Raw genomic sequence first — 18,073 nt, forward strand, 5'->3', positions numbered from 1 at the left:
AGGCGTAAGCCACTGCGTGCCACCATTTTTTAAAAAACAATTATTCGAAGCCCTCTCTCCACCATATACTGCCTTTGTATTCCAGCCTCTAGCCAGTTCTTGGCACCCACCAGGCCCTGTCTACATGGAGAGAGACTGGTTCACAGACATCCTGATTCTTTGGTCTGTGCCTTCCTCTCCAGACATGGAGGACGTTTTGCAGTCTGAGTGGTGGACTTCTTGGCTGCTGCTAGTTCTGACATTGGTGGAAGCCAGTTTGATATGCGGTTCTTGTACATTGGGTCGTAAACTGTTTGGCAGGAGTTGGGGGCAGGGGAAGAAAACATTAGCAATGAGCTCTAACTTGAGGTAAGTAAACCAAACAAACCCAGGCCCAAGTAGATTCTGCTGCTTTTCAAAACACATAAGCAAAGTTCTCTGAGTCTCACAAGTTCACTCTTGTGAGCTCCTTGAATAACAACAATTATTCAAGGTCATAAATAAGTTTACATTCTGCAGTCCCAGGAGCATTCCTATGTCGGTTATACCTCTTGCGTGGAATCTCTGCTTAAATTAAATTTGTCATTTGATTTTCTCTGAGTGAGAAAGCCCCTTTAAAAGAAGACTTGGAGTTAGTGATGGCCCCATATTAGTTAGTTAACACCGGTTTGAGGAAAAGCACAGTTATTCCACATTCGTTCTGCAAAAGTTTACTGAACACCTACTATGTGCCAGACCCTTTGTTAGGCACTGGCAATACAAATGTAATTAAGGCAGAGCCCTGTACTCAAACTGCTCAAGACTAGGGGCAAGAAGATGACTAGCTAAGATATCACGTGGTAAGTGGCAGCATAGAAGAGCGCTTCCCAGAGAAGTTTCTGAGACTCATCTGAAAGGATAACTAGGGCATGTGAGGTCAAAAAGGTAGGAAGGGTGCTGCAAGTTGTGCAATAGCACATTCATAGATACAGTAATCAAGACAAAAAAAGTGGGACTGAAGCTGGGCGCAGTGGCTCACGCCTCTAATCTTAGCACTTTGGGAGGCCGTGGCAGGCAGATCACTTGAAGCAGAAAGTTCCAGACCAGCCTGGCCAACATGGTGAAACCCCATCTCTACTAAAAATATAAAAATTAGCCGGACGTGGTGGCGGGCACCTACAATTCCAGCTACCTGGGAGACTGAGGCAGGAGAATCCCTTGAACCCAGGAGGTGGAGGTTTCAGTGAGCCAAGATCACACCACTGCACTCCACCCTGAGCAACAGAGCAAGACTCCGTCTCAAAAAAAAAAAAAAATGGGACTGACAAATTATTTAATAAAGTCTGATAACACTATTAGCCAAGGTGGAAGGGGTGGATACTCTCATGCACGCTAGTGAGAGTGCTAGTTGATTTGTTGATTTGACCCATGCAGAGAGTAGGGTTAAGGAAGGGAGTCCTCAGTACATGGGGCTGTGGAAAGGCTTGTATTTTTTAAGGGCATCTTAGAATGGCAGGGAGATGAAGCATAGATGGAATTTTCTGGTCTCAAACTCTAAAAGAAACCCTGATTAAGCTGTTTCTATGTGTCACAGGCTGAAGCCTTGGGTCCCCAATGGAGGCTGACTGAGCCCAGGAAGGATTCTAGGGGTCCACAGACCCAGAAGGCTCTGAGTGTTAGAGGTTCATTGATTCTTGACACCTCAGTCCTGGTGGCAAACCTCAGAGCTGCAGGTAGAATGTTAGGGAAATGCTATTTGAGTTCCTCTGCGACCACCCACCTCAGCGTCTTTGCAGAGGAACGTCACTAAGCCAGAAGTGGAGCTCAGAGTTTCTTGCTCTTTGTTGCTTTAACAGTATCTTGGCTCCACAAAGTCTTGTTTTACAGTTTTATTGGGGAGATATTCAAGTGTGTGTGTGTATGTGTGTGTATTTATACTTTTTTATACTGAGGTTTAACATGAATATCTTGTTTAGCCATGTTTTTCTGTTGTTGAATGAAGCAGATTTTAGAGATCCAAGATGTGTAAGAGAGGGTAATAATAGAAATTGTACCTGCAAATTGCCATTCATCCAAGTGGCTGTGTTACATTTGCTCATCAGCCCTCCCAGAACTTTAATAAGGACAGACAGTGGAGAATGTGCGGAAGTAATAATCAAATAGAATACTGTGACAAAATGAACTTTCTCTTGAATGAGTTGCAGTGCTTGATGTTGGAGGCTTTAGATAACCACTGGGGATTTTTGGCAGGTTTGTAATGGGATATCTGTATTTCAGGGAGGTAATTCTGAGCCAGCATGTGGGATGGATGCAGTGAGGGATGGACTGGCAATGGAAAACCAGCAATAGCCAGGTGAAAGACTGGGATTGAAGGCATGAATTGCAAAGGAGAAATACAAAGTTAACCCAGGAGTGAGAGACAAACTGTCAAGCTGATAGAGCCTTGATGACTGATTGGCTGTGGGGGATACAGGGGAACAAAAGGATCATGAAGAAAAGCACAGCTTTGCTAACTGGTTGGATGCCCTCCCCAGAGGCAGGTGAGACAGAAGGAGCAGCAAGGCCAAGTGTTGAGGGAGTGGAGGTTGGCCAGGTACTGAGTTCAGCCAGGGGCATGTTGATTTTGAGGCACCGTCTACACATAGAACAGGCTGGGAGTTTCCCAGGACTTATTTGCACAGTGGAGTTATCCAGTTTTGCACAGTGTGTGAGCCATTTAAAAAATATTTAAAATGGATCACAAATAAAAAAAGTTAACTAGACTAGATATCAGTCCAAATCTCCTCAAATAGTGGATAATTCCAAAACCACGTTCTCGGGAAGGCATATTTTTCTATTTGTTACCTTTCAAACAGGGAAGGAAAATTAGAAGAGGTTCAACAACCAACATTAACTTCATAGAGTGAAAGCCAGAAGCTACAACAGTTAATTGGTAGCACACTCATATATAACTTCTCCCTACAGAAGAGAACTAAGAATTCCTTTACTACTTTCTGGTGCAGATGTTCCAAAATAATGCACATAACAGCTCTTGTGCTTTCAGAACGGGCAGTACAGGTTGTGATGTAGTGAGCCTGATTCCACAAACACATCCAAATAAACATCATTATAGTCACATCCAGTGTAAGCATTATTGACACAAGGTTGTAGTTAATTGTGAAATAAACTGTATGCTCTTTATTCAATCTCTGTCTTCAATGTTGGTTCACAGTAATCTTTCCTGTATCAGGATTTATTAGTTACATTATTAATATTAATCCTGTAGATTTCCATGGTAATTAGCAGGCAATTATAGTACAATTTCAGTTATTAGCATATGATTATAGGATTTTTGTCTGTGTCCTAATAGAAATCTATTTCTTAAGAGTCAATGTTTAAATTGTGCTCTGCTGAAAGTAGTTTTATATTAAAGTCACACTTTTTTGAAAACTTAAGTTTTCAAAATGAAATCAAAGCATTTCTTCACGTTTGATTCTCCATAGTTCTCTTTGAGGGCAAAGGAAGCCTCTTAAGAGACTCTTGATCACAGACTTTAGTTGACCTCTGTGGATGATTCAGCATGGCTATCCTGTTAAGGTCTAGAAGCTCTTTTTAATCTGGAGTCATGCTCCACTTTCAAACAAGAATCATAATTAAACAGTTTATTTAAACTGTTAAAAAAAAAGAGTTTTTTTTATTTGAGTTTTTTAGAGGAAGCTGGCTTTGGATGAGCCCTACAAGCATGCTTTCTCAGTTTTTATAGCCAGTCCTGGGCTGGGCTACTCTGAGAGCTATGCAGAAAAGTGGGAGGGTGGAGATTTAAGGTGGTGTGTAGGAAGAGGTGACGTCCACATGTTGGGAAGTCAGGTAGCCAGGTGGCTAGGTGGTCAGGTGGCTAGGTGGTCAGGTGGCTAGCTGGTCAGGTGGCTAGGTGGTCAAATGGCCAGGTGGTCAGGTGGCTAGGTGGTCAGATGGTCAGGTGGTCAAGTGGCCAGGTAGCTAGGTGACCAGGTAGCCAAGTGGTCAGGTAGTCAGGTGGTCAGTTGGCCAGGTAGCCAAGTGGTCAGGTAGTCAGGTAGCCAGGTGATCAGGTAGCCAGGTGGTCAGGTGGCTAGCTGGCCAGGTAGCTAGGTGGTCAGGCAGCCAGGTGGTCAGGTAGCCAAGTGGCCAGGTGGCCAGGTGATCACGTAGTGTGAATTTGTGGCCCAAACAGGCCTGGGAGACAAGAGCACCAGCAACTCCCCACTTTCTTCAGCAGGGCTTCCCACCATCCCACCTAGTTTAGTTCTCTGGTTCTCTGGAGGGCTGTCCTTTTCCCCAAATTATACAGATTTGCTCTCTCCCTACAGTCTGGAAAATGTAGGTCTTCCCTCCTTTAAAAATAACTCAAGTAAATAGGATTTCATTTTTTGATGTTTTTCTAGGCTGTTTCCATACTTCTGAATAGATATGAAAAATAAATTTGATTACAAACCAAACCAAACCTCTTGAGAGCTCCCAAATTAAAAAAACAAAATCCAAGGGCTGGTGAGAATTAAGGCTGTAGTTGGAGCTCAGTCAGAAGAGCGAGCTCCATCCCCACGTCCTCCATAGGACCAGATGAGAGGGGAACTCTGGGGTGTGAGCCAGCAACAGCCTCACTTGCAGCTCCAGATCCTTCCTCTGTTGCATCCGCCCTTGCTGTTATCACGAGTTCATGTGCAGTGTAAGACATGCTCTGTTTTCTAGAGACGTGCTAAAGCTGCAGTTATGGAAAACTCCTTTTCATCTCAACCTTGATTAGAAACAGTTATGTGATAAAAGTACGGTAGGCTGTGAAGGTTAATTAACTTAAAACACTGTAAATGCAAGTGTTCTCTAAAGTTTAATATTTGTTTAGGCAGAAAATAATTTTCAATCATAATTGAGCCACTGTGGGTTTTCAGTTACTGGATACCTGTCTCAGGATGAATCCTGGAAACTCATTCTGTTGAGGCTAGTATCTCGGGAAAATCCCTTCCGCTGTGTGTGTGATGGGGGTGGTCCTCGGGCTCCCTCTGGTTCCCTCCAGGGAAGGGTCAGGATTCTATCCCCAGCTCCAGTCCCTGATCCCTGCAGACTCTCTTTCAAGCTATTGCTGGGCCCTCTTCTTTCCTTCCACCTCATGTTTCTTTTTTTTTTTTTTTTTTTTTTTTTGAGACGGAGTCTCGCTCTGTCGCCCAGGTGGGACTGCGGACTGCAGTGGCGCAATCTCGGCTCACTGCAAGCTCCGCTTCCCGGGTTCACGCCATTCTCCTGCCTCAGCCTCCCGAGTAGCTGGGACTACAGGCACCTCATGTTTCTTAAAAGAGGAGCCTACACTTCCTGCCCGACATCTTAAACTGTCACCCATTTCTCAATCCAACATAATCTGTCTTTTATTAATATTTTAAAATGACAGATATCTTTTCACCCTTCACTATTTTTTCCTACTTACTTCCAACCTCTTGTTTGACCCATCTCTGGGGTTCTCCTTGCCTAGAATGGCCCTCTCTCGCTTCTTCACCTGGAAGACATCTCACACCTTGAGACCTTGTTCCCTGTCCCCACTTGGGTAAGATCTTCTTAATCTTCCCAGGTAGAGTCCACTGTTCCCTCTGCAGGCTTTGGTTTAGATCTAAACAATAGCACTTGGCAGTGTTTCACTTGGTTTATTCATTCATTCATTTATTCATCCTACTAGACGCTGAACTTTTTGAATGAAGAGAGGATTTTTTTAACCTTGAATCTTTGTATGCTTAGCAGCTGGTACAGAACCTGGCAGAGAACAGATGCTCAACCGATGTTGCATAATCGATGAGCACACTGCCATGTGTGGTTTTGTGCGTTTAGGTGACAGTGACAGTAAGCAGGCCTGTGCCTGGTTCACTGAGAAATCTGACTGGGGTTGGACTCTCCTCTTTCATGCTGAAAGAATCATTTCTGGTAGTATTTTTCTGATACTAGAAGACTAAATATGCCTTTAGTACTTCCATTTCTTATATTTAAATATATTTTATTGTACTATAAACATTTTGATATAACTTAAATACCTCTGAGACTTAATTGCTAGCCTACAAACATAATATATATACTCATAAACAAAGGTAAATGTCTCCTTTTAAACTTAACTAGAAATTATTTCTGTTTTCCTGAAACAGACGTGGAAAATTGTTGAAGGGCAAATTTTTTAAAACAAGTAGGTAGATGTGGAATTAAAACTTACAACGAATGTGTCCCTTCGTCATTTTCCTTCACTGCTCCTCGGAACTCAGTTTATCTGGTTCCAGCACATTATTGTTTAATAAGCCTTTTCTGATATTTCTCCTACTCCTGGAAATGTTAAAGCCATGAGCAGTTAACCAGAAGGAATGTTACAGAGAAGATAAAAGCAGACGATGGATGCTTGAAGAGACCTCTGAGAGTCTGTTTTAATGACAGGGTAAAGCTGTCCTATAGAGATACTGGTTTAGATGATGAGATTTCAAAATCAAAACACACACACATACTCACACGCACAGATAACTGAAACCACTGATAGACCTGCTGTGTTTAGTGCTATACAATGCTATATTTCCTATCTGTCATTTTTTTAAATACACATTTACTGGACATTGAGTTGTTTTTCCCCTAACCGGTGGGACTTTTGTTATATCCATAGCTATAACATCATTCTTTCATCTCCAATGTGGAATTTATACTTTTATTTGATTTCATGTTTTCTGTTTGGGACCTCATTATTTTCTTTTTCAGATGTGCATTTAAGGAAACTTCAGGCACTCTCATAGTATTATAGTTTTTAATATTATTGGATTGGCTTAAAAATGACCAAAAAAAAACCTAGAGATACAATTAGATAGTTCATGAAATCATATGTTTCATGAACAAAACTATAGAGCCGGTCTATTCAGCCACCCTCTAGCATTTGCTAGAAGTTTCTCTCCCTGTGGCCTTCAATAGAAACAAATATATGTCTTTGTAACATCCACAAGAGTGAAATTAGGCAAATTTAAAGTTTTTCTTCCTTGTTTACAAAACCTAAAACTTGCCAAGTTTTTTCAAAATTAAATTAAACTCTTTGAGGTTGTAGAAGCCAAAATAAGGTAAAGCTAATCTGAAGAAAACTCTTTGAACAGGCTTCAGGAATGTGGACCACCACTAGTTTCTCTGCTTTTGGAAAGACATGTGTTGAAATAATTGAGTGCTTAATAAATGAGAGTCTCGTCATTGTTTAACAATCCTGTGCCATAGGTGCTGTAGTGTCTCCATTTCGCAGATAAGGCAGCCAGCTTAATGAGGTCATGTAGTTCTCCAAAGGTTGCTGTGGACTCAAGTCCACTCACACATACAGTCTGGGGTCAGCATTAGAACAGTAAACTGTAACGGCAACAGCAGTTTCCCTCCCTAAGAGAACTCAAAATCCTATTTTGACATAATATCAAAATCCTCTAATAATTTCAGAATTGATGAAAAATAAGTAAAAGTACACAGGACTAGCAACATGAGTCATTCAAGTAGCAGTTAATGCAAAAATCATTCCTGCAACAAACTAGAATAGTGCATGAGCCACTTCCCAGTGGCTCCCCACCCCCTTAACACAGGTAAGAGGTTTACCTTCCTACGTCACTTAACTCATTCTGTGTATGTGATTTGGGCAGCCAGGGGTAAGTGGGAAGCTTGAAAATGAACATTTATCTTACTGTATTTTGAGTTGCTTAAGTAATTGGGCTTGTAGTTCAAATTTAGTGAAAGATAATCCACTTGAAGATTTATAGTCTTTCTTCTGCACTGCCAATTACCAAAAAGTTATTTCTAGTGTTTGAATCTATTCAGTCTGCAACTCTGAAGTACAACTATAAGTGTTTGAAAATTATTTCTCACACTGAGGGTTGTTAGACACTAGAATGAGGCTGTGGAATCTTATAGAACAGACATTCTTGAGTCTCTTGCCAATAATATAAAATACCACCACTTCAGAAACAGTTCAGTTTCCTTTTATAAATTATAGTCGGTTTAACCAAGTGTTATAGTTTCTGGATATGTCATCTGGGGTGGGAAAAGATTAGGGAGCTTTGTGGTAGAAGGGGCCCTGTTTGTCGGGGTGATTACTGCTGATTAACCACTTTGGGCAGTAACTTCTAATCCTACGTGCCTATAACTTCTTGTCTCCACATGTACTCCCAAGAGTGTCAGTATATTAGACAACAGCATGAAGAATGGAAAACTGGCATATGCTTGAGTAGTTCATGCAGTGTTTTAAGCATGTTACTTACCAAAGCACAGTTTGCATTTTCATTCATTCAGAAAACTGTCAGAAACTGCCAGGTACTTTTGTGTGATTTACAAATTAAATTTGTGGACAGAGACAAAATGGTTATAGTTAAAATCTCCCTGAGCCACATGGACTAATGAAATGAGTTGAATGTTAAGCCTGTCTGAGTTACTAAATCTGGAGCTATGTGCTGTGGTGCAAGCACGGGCACGCGTGCATGTGTGTTTATGTGTGTCTATGTACAGGATATGACCTATTGTCAGTTTGAAATCAAGTTTGTTAGTCAAGACCAACATTCTTAAAAAATGAAATCAGACAGAATAAAAAATACTAGCATACACAGAACATAGTAATAGGTTACAATGTCAAATGTTCATACTCTGTGCTTATGGTCAGTACAACTTGAAAGCTGTAACATTGTCTATATAATTCCTTCTCCACAAACAGGAGGGTGAATCAAGCACATGTAAAATATTAGATGTAGCCTAAAGAGAAAGTTCTAAGAAACACAAATGGTATCTGTGAGGGTATTATACTAAGCCATGGAGAGTAAATAGTAATAATATTACTAATAATTATGCCTTTAATGATATATTAATAGACGGGTCACTCTATGCTGGTCACATATGTTTTCATAATTTCAGTTGTTATTGTCCTGGATTATGTATGGAAAGGTGCTCATCTGGCTGTGTAGCAGAGGAGTCAAAGGCCTCTGGCATGTATGTAGATGAATTTCGTAAGTTCTAATCCCAGCCTGGCCCGTTACAAACTGACTGTGGGGGATGGGAGAGTACTTACATGCTTGCCTGTTTCCTATTCTATGAGGTGGGAATAATAATAATAAAAAGATACCAAGAAAAACTGTCTGAGGTAATACTTGTGAAGTATGTATGTTTAGCACAGGGCTCTCAAAAAATGGTGGCCATTATTATTATTTGCTCATGGACCAGTATTTCAATGATGGAAATACTTTAGTGCCTCTAAAAATCAGCTCTAGTGTTAACACACTTAAGGAAACCCAGTCAGGTCACCTCTGACTCTGTAAAGCATTATAAAGAAAATAATGAACTCATAAGTGAGTTCTTGTGAGTCATTCAGGTTTTAAGAAGCCACTGCTTTGATTTTGAAAACAGACAAAAAAATCTCAGAATCTACTTGGACTAGGGTTCATTTATTCTGCCTGTTTCAAGTCAGAGCAAATACTCCTGGAATGACCCTCTCCTGTTTCCTGAGTTTGAGCCGATCCTATTTGGCACTGCAGACAGGGAGAAGTGGATGTTTGAGGACAGATGGGAGGTGCAAAGTGGAGACAAGTATTGGTCCCACCTTCCACTATGAGACTAGCAGGGCCCAGTTCTCTTAGCTATTGTCTCTATTTTGTAGATTAGGAAATTTCAAGTTTAGAGAAGTTGAGTTAACTCACCGAAGGTCTCGGGGCTTGGTGGGAAGAGGGACGGAAAATTAAATTCAGGTCTGTGTGTCTCCACCACCATGTTCCTTCTCTTTATACCTTGATTGCCACCCTTAGAATTCTAAGCACCACGGCCCCAAATATATAAACTATGTCGAGCTCTCAGCTTTTGTTAAAAGCATCTTATTAGGCCATGGTGTATGTACCTTGAGTCGGCATTTGTGCCCAGAGCCATTTTCAGCATTCCAGCTTCATTATTTCACTAGTCCAGACAGAATCCGCACCTTTCAGAAGAGAAGCAATCTTTATATTAATTATGCCACTCCTTTTAATCTCCAAAAATATATACAAAAATAATTAAAAGGGGTAGTTATAATTTACCAAGCGTGTGAAGCTCAATTAAGGTGGAGGAATTAACACTGCCTTTGACGGGATTTCCAGAATCACACTTGCCCCTACAATCCATTTGAAGAAAGCTCAGCCTACAGAAGTCTGAATTTAAAAACCTATTAACAGGCCAGTGATTATATGCAAAAGATAAAAAATAAAAAAATAACAAAAGGATTCACCATAACAATTCAAATAGAATTGGATCCTATAATTTCTGTGCCAAATATAGCTTGCCAGAAACACAAACACAAAGCATTGCACTTTCACACATCCTCAGCAGCCCTTTGCAGAAGCACTGCAACGTTTATCATCATTTCCCCAACACTGACACCTCTTGTTTTCTTAGAAAGGCTAACTTTGGAATTTTTCTTTCGATCTTCACAGTGCTTGCAGTATGTGGAGATATTTTCTTGTTTGTCTCCTCTCTACTGAAGCACCCCAACCTTGTCCTTCTTGTCAAGGAATTTGCAATGATCCCAAAATGTCCAGTCTCTTTGCCTCATCAAGCTTACATTCCTTCAGTGCTTCCCAAGAAACTAGTAGCCATTGTAGGACATACTATGATCCCAATATCTGCTGACAATGTGTTGTTGAATTTGCAAGACAAATATGGGCAGTGGTTAAAAGTGTGGCTTTTTGCATCAAGCAGACCCGGATTCAAATCACAGGTTGGCTTGTTACCAGCTATGTGATTTTCCACAAACAGCTGAACTTCGCTGTGGGAGGAAGATGCTGATTCCTGCTTCATAGAGTGGTTGCCAGGATTAGCAGAGGTGATAAAGGCTTCACATAGGCTTGGCATGAGCTTGTAAGTTCTCTGTTTGTGGCAGTTATTATCCTAAGGGCATTTGCATTTTAATGCCAGGAGATGACAATGTCTTTATCCAAAGGATAGAGTGTTTCAGGATGAGCTTCCAGGCATAAGAATAAGTAGACATCCTGGAGCAGGTGGTGCTTGAATCTTACTGTGCAGGTAACTGCCTGTCCTCCCATATTGGTATTTAGTCCTCCTAAGAAGGGAAATCTGAGAAACGAAGGGGAACTGTCACATGGACTTCATTGACAGTTGACGTAGGACCTTAATGACAGGTACAGCACTTTCTTTCTTTCTTTTCTTTTTTTTTTTTTTTTTTTTTTGAGACAGAGTCTTGCTCTGTCGCCCAGGCTGGAGTGCAATGGCACAATCTCGGCTCACTGCAACCTCCGCCTCCCGGGTTCAAGCAATTCTCCTGCCTCAGCCTCCTGCATAGCTGGGATTACAGGTGCCCACAACCACGCCCGGCTAATTTTTGTATTTTCAGTAGAGATGGGGTTTCACCACGTTGGTCAGGCTGGTCTCAAAGTCCTGACCTCGTGATCCACCTGCCTTGGCCTCCCAAGTTGCTGGGATTACAGGCACGAGCCACCATGCCCGGCCAGATATAGCACTTTCTAATACTGTGTGGAGTGAACCAAAGGCACCAAAATAATCCAATAATGAAGTTGTTCCTTTTAATTATTTTGGCATTTCCATTTGCCATCGAACAATATTAAGTGTGGTCCCCAGACCAGCCACATCAGCTCTACCTGAGACCTTGCTAGAAATGCAAATTCTTGGCCACATTCTAGACCTATGGAATCGGAATCTCTGAGAGTGGACAGAGAATCTGCATTTTACCAAAGCCCTCCAGGTGATTCTGGTGCACTGCAACATTCGAGAAGCACCGTTATAGAATCCCTCAAGCCTGTAAGCCATGGGAATTTGGAAACACTTGTTCTGCTTTGGGAGGATCCTAGCAGACCCCAGAGAATTTCCATGTGTTCCCATACACTTCACTCTGAGATTCCAAGGACACACACAGACTTAGAGAGGACCTTGAACATTTTGGCTATATCTCTGGCAGCACATGACATTAACAATGAGATTAAGTTCATTCTTATTTCGTTAGAAAGACTCCCATTTTTTCTACCCATGGTTTTATTCTTTTTGTTGTTGTTGTTGTTGAGATGGAGTCTCTGTCACCCAAGCTGGAGTGCAATGGTGTGATCTCGGCTCACTGCAACCTGTGCCTCCCGAGTTCCAGTGATTCTCCTGCCTCAGCCTTCAGAGTAGCTGGGATTACAGACACTTGCCACCACGCCTGGCTAATTTTTGTATTTTAGTGGAGATGGGGTTTCCCCATGTTGGCCAGGCTGGTCTTGAACTCCTGACCTCAGATGATCCACCTGTCTCGGCCTCCCAAAGTGTTAGGATTACAGGCGTGAGCCACCACGCCTGGTTGGCATAATTTTTTTAAACCTGTTTCAGCCAATAATAATATTGTTGCATCATGCCTGTTTTGGGAAATATTAAGCCATTTTCCTATTTGTTCACTCATCCTCGCCAGGTAGATGTTAGTATTGTGTTTACAAACTAGTATTTAAAATATGTAGTTTTTATGTTGCCTTGTCACTTTTTTTAGGGGAAAAAAGTCCATTTGAAATTCAATATGTTCACAAAGATGTATTTTATAATTGTGTTTTATAATTCGTTTAAAGCGGGGTGATTATTTTTCAGCTATGGTAACTATCATTGCAAAAAGAAGCCATTCACTCAGATCACATGAGTTCTAATCACAGGAAGGAATCCCAGACGTAGGAGGTTGAGTGGGACCCTCAAAAATGATATGTCCTCGTCCTAACTCCCAGAACCTGTAAATATGACCTTATTTCAGAAAAAGATCTTTGCAGATTGTGATTAAGGATCTCAAGATAAGATCATCCTGGATTAAGGTGGGCCCTACATCCAATGACAAATCCTTAAAAGAGAAGGGGGAACAGGCTGGGCATGGTGGCTCACACCTGTAATCCCAGCACTTTGGGAGACCGAGGCAGGTGGATCACCTGAGGTCAGGAGTCCAAGACCAGCCTGGCCAACATGGTGAAACCCCATGTCTACTAAAAATATCAAAAAAATTAGCCAGGCATGGTGGCAGGTGCCTGTAATCCCAGCTACTCGGGAGGCTGAGGCAGAGGAATCGCTTGAACTCAGGAGGCAGAGATTGCAGTGAGCCAAGATTGCACCATCGCACTCCAGCCTGGACAATAAGAGTGAGAGTCTGTATCAAAAAAAAAAAAAAAAAAAAAAAAAAAAAGAGAGAGATAGTGAAGGGGGAACAGATGCAGAGACACAAAAGGGAAGGCCATGTGAAGACAGAAGCGGAGATCGGAGATCGGAGTCACACACCGCTGGCATGGCACAGCTTGATTTCAAACTCCTGGCCTCTGGAACTGTGAGCAAAAATATTCCTGTTGTTCAAAGCCACCATGTTTATGGTAATTAGTTATGACAGCTCAAGGAAATTGGCACAGCAGCTCATTACTATGCCTTTTCCTGACTACAGCTGTCAACATTTACAACATTCGGGTTTGAGAAACTTTCTTGAGGAAATAAGTTGAGGAAGGCTCAACACCAGGTTACTGAGTTTCCATTCCTACCGTGGGCCGTAAACTCTTAAGCATACAACACTCACCCAAGGACATTCACCCAGCTTTCAGAAACCAGAGGCACATCTGTTACCATTTTATTTGTCGGACAACTATGCATGTGGAAGAAGCCACATTGGTGTGCATCAGCTGTTTAGTCCCTTGGAAGACTTTGAGAGTCGTGAAGTGGGAGCAGAGCTATTGTACCACCTGTGGAGACTGAACACAAAGGGTAGAGATGAGCAGACATTTCTTGTATGGTATAAGGCTAGAGAGGAGTGCATGACATTAGTCTCTTAGTTATCTTTCTTGTTTAGAATGCCTAAGGATCCATCCATTCATTCACTCAACAAACTTATGGAGCACATCCTATGAGTATGATATTAAGAACTGAGAAAGCAGCAGTATTTAAGATAAGTTCCTTGCCCTCATATAACATATATAACTAATGAGAAATGTTGGTGATAAATAGTAAACGAATAAATAAAATACTTGTACATGCCATGAAGGACATATACAAGGTAATGGAACCACCCAATAAAAAGTAGTCTTACTATCCTTTTGTTTTGGGCATACAAAAGCAGATTAAGGATAATCGTCTTGTTCATTTATTTATCTATATACTTATTTATATTCTGTCTCTAGGACTGAAAAAGCCAAAAGATCAGGGACCTAGTTTTGTTTCTTGCTCTTTCTCAAGCATGAGGACACTGCCTGGCACATAGAGGGCTCACAGTAAATATTTCCTCAATACATTTGTTGATTAAGTGAAGGTGATAGAAACTGACAGGGACCTTGAACAAGATTAGAGTATTTTATCTGTATCTATATTGCATTTGTTTTTGAAATTCTTTCCTTATTTGAGCTAATACAATTTTAACAGAAGACATTTTTTATGTGGAGAAGCTATAGGAAATAAAACCTCATAATGTTGTAACTCATGAGAGCTAGGATACATGTTTGAACAAATTTTCTTGGTTTGTCTTTATTTCTAGATATGACATTTGCTTTCTTTTTTACAATTCACCTAAAGGCTGCTTATTTTTAAATGTGTATTTAAAACTTCAAAGTTGCGAGACTATCTTTTAGAATAATTAGCTATAAAGAATCAAGGACTTCAGTTGATCTAAATTCAACAGTCTTCTTTTCTCTTCAAAATTTTAAGAGTTTGGCTGGCCTGCTGGAAGCACAGGTTTATATTTAAAATCATCCCAAGTATAGTCGTATAACCTTATTCTAAATTTGAAAGATATAAAATTGTTTTTCTTTGTTTTTTGTTTTCTCTTTTAGCTTTAACTATTTATTTCAAAATCAGTAAGGAAACTGAATACCCTAAGAAAAAAAAAATGGGCAAAGGACAGAACAGGAAGTGTTTCAATAAATAAATGCATTTTTAAAACAAAGAAAAGGGCTGGGTGCCGTGGCTCACACCTGTAATCTCAGCACTTTGGGAGGCCGAGGCGGGTGGATCACGAGGTCAGGAGATCGAGACCATCCTGGCTAACACAGTGAAACCCCGTCTCTACTAAAAATACAAAAAATTAGCCTGGTGTGGTGGCAGGCACCTGTAGTCCCAGCTACTCAGGAGGCTGAGGCAGGAGAATCACTTGAACCTGGGAGGCAGAGCTTGCAGTGAGCTGAGATTGCACCACTGCACTCCAGCCTTGGTGACAGAGCAGGACTCCGTCTCAAAAAATAAAAATAAAAAAAATAAAATAAATAAATAAAACAGAGAAAAAAGTGAAGAAATACAAAGAGTCAAAAACAAAATGAAAGATGGTTCAACCTCTTTCACAATCAATAAATTACAAATTAAAATAATGAGTCACCATGTTTTGCATATCAATTTGGAAGGAAACATTTGGAGGAAACGAGAACACATGCATATGCGCTGTTACTGTGAACGTCAATTGTTTCAACTTTAGCAGGAACACTTTGACAAAATGAATTAAAAGCCTTAAAAATTTTTTTTCCTTTGACCTGCTACTTTCACTTCTAAGAATATATATTAACGAAATATAATTAAGCATATATGAATTTTTAGCTGTATAGATAATTAAAACATTATTTGAAATAGAAAACTATTGGACATCATCTGGCCAAGACAAGCAAAATAAAGTCCTGGCACATAATTCAATTTAGTAGTATTTGGCCATTAAAAGTAATTTTACACCAGTTTATTGACATGGGAAGATGCTGATGATGCATTAGGCAAAAATAAATAAAGAAATAATTGTTACAGTATTGTATAAAATATTTACATATTTTTGAGAAAGGTAGGCAGAGAGAAAGATAGGAAGGATGAAGTGTACCACAGATCTGTTTATAGTTGGTTATTTGTGGGTGAGAAAATTGTGATTGCTTTTAAATATTTTTCATATTTGTTCATGGTCTCTGACTTTCCTGTGGTGGCCACACACGCTTTTATATTGAAGTACGTGCTTTATTTAAAATGTAAACATGTAGTTTGGCTTTAAAATTTCCATAGGGGGAAACCATAGAAACACAGCAAAGGACATTAGTAAGCAGTTTCCATAAGGAGACACCTAGTTGGCTATCCTGTGTGAGAAGAGATGTTTGAACTTAAAAGCGGTAGAAGAAGTGCAAATATGTTGTCAGTGGAATGCTGCCTTGTGCTCATCAGATTAGCAAGAAAGTAGAGAGAAAAAGGGAAATAGAGTTCTGGTGGGAGGCTGCACTGGCTGATCCATCCTGGAGAGTGAATCTGGAGGGCTGTTCTGGAGAGCACATTTAGTAACTTTTTATGTGATCAGTCATCAGTTCAGCTCCCAGGAGTATGAATTTTTATCACAGAGATGTCTGTACCAGAGAGCAGAGACCACTGAAGGGTCCATCTCTGGGATGGGAGATAAGTAAACTGTGGCGACAGTCCCTGGAGCCACAGTTAGAAATAGGCATGCAACTATGCTGCTATAAAGACACATGCACACGTATGTTTATTGCGGCACTATTCACAATAGCAAAGACTTGGAACCAACCCAAATGTCCAACAATGATAGATTGGATTAAGAAAATGTGGCACATATACACCATGGAATACTATGCAGCCATAAAAAATGATGAGTTCATGTCCTTTGTAGGGACATGGATGAAGCTGGAAACCATCATTCTCAGCAAACTATCCCAAGGACAAAAAACAGAACACCGCATGTTCTCACTCATAGGTGGGAATTGAACAATGAGAACACATGGACTCAGGAAGGGGAACATCACACATCCGGGTCTGTTGTGGGGTGGAGGGAGGGGGGAGGGAGAACATTAGGAGATATACCTAATGCTAAATGACAAGTTAATGGGTGCAGCACACCAGCATGGCACATGTATACATATGTAACAAACCTGCACATTGTGCACATGTACCTTAAAACTTAAAGTATAATTTAAAAAAAAAAAGAAAAAAAGAAATAGGCATGCAACGAGCAGTGAGGTTAGATCCGAAAAGGTCTGTAGTCTGGATTGCCAGATGAAATACAGAGTGCCAGTTAAATTTGAATTTCTGATAAATAATGAATACATTTTGAAGATAAGTATATCCCAAATATTTGCCCAATCTGGCAACTTTAGTCATGGAACAACAGAATTTATGAAAATTAAAGCTATATACACAGGCAATTCAAACCAATATATTCCGTAAGAATATATATAAACACATTTATAGCTATTGCATTTGTGGGAAGGATAATAGGAAGAAAAAGAAATACATAGTAACCAAATAAAGTCATAAAATAAGAGAAGGCCTTGAATAGACCAACTATGATTAACTCAACTCTCCATACCTAAGTCCAAAAAGATTTTTTTTTTTTTTTTTGAGATGGAGTCTCACTCTGTCACCCAGGCTGGAGTACAGTGGCATGATCTCAGCTCACTGCAGCCTCTGCCTCCCAGTTCAAGGGATTCTCATGCCTCAGCCACCTAAGTAGCTAGGATTACAGGCATGTGCCACCATGCCCGGCTAATTTTTATATTTTTAGTAGAGACAGGGTTTCACCATGTTAGCCAGGCTGGTCTCAAGCTCCTGACCTCAGGTAATCCTCCTACCTCGGCCTCCCAAAGTTCTGGGATTACAGGCATGAGCCACCACACCCGGCCCCAAAAGGAAATTTTAAAAAAGCTTTACTGTGGTCTCCTGAATTTTTTTTTTTTTTTTTTTTTTTTTTTTTACTAAAGTACTGATGACACTGCCTGGCTGATAAACAGAATATTCTGTTCTACAAAAAATTCCATATGAAGTACCCTGGTACTTCTAGCAAAATTAAGTGGCAGAAAAGTGAGCAGGAGGGAGAGTGGGTAGGTGACGTAGGGCTTGGGAGAAAAAAGAAAACCTTAATAATCTTATAAAACTAGTAAAAAATGAAACTAATGAACAAATTAGCTAAGAACATTGGTTTGCTTAGTTTTACTCTTTTAATAGAGGAACACGCTTACATTCTTATAGAGTAAGTATTAGTAAAAGAACATCAGTGAGCACCAGTCCTTAACTGTTAGCATGGAGATAGCCTGAAAAATAAACGAAGTTTAAATTTACCCATTGGAAAATGATGGTTCAGTACATGTCACTGAGTCACTCTTACTCCTTTAAAAGCTTGTTCTTTTTTTAATGT

At 40.4% G+C, this 18,073-nt stretch overlaps 1 protein-coding gene across 4 annotated transcripts in view; it reads left to right on the forward strand.

Moving 5' to 3' along the window:
* Nucleotides 1–18,073, forward strand: part of GRHL2 (grainyhead like transcription factor 2) — a 188,762-nt gene that overhangs the window by 88,540 nt on the left and 82,149 nt on the right. The window lies entirely within an intron of this gene.

The sequence above is a fragment of the Homo sapiens genome, chromosome 8, assembly GCF_000001405.40.
Source record: "Homo sapiens chromosome 8, GRCh38.p14 Primary Assembly".
Taxonomy (NCBI): domain Eukaryota; kingdom Metazoa; phylum Chordata; class Mammalia; order Primates; family Hominidae; genus Homo; species Homo sapiens.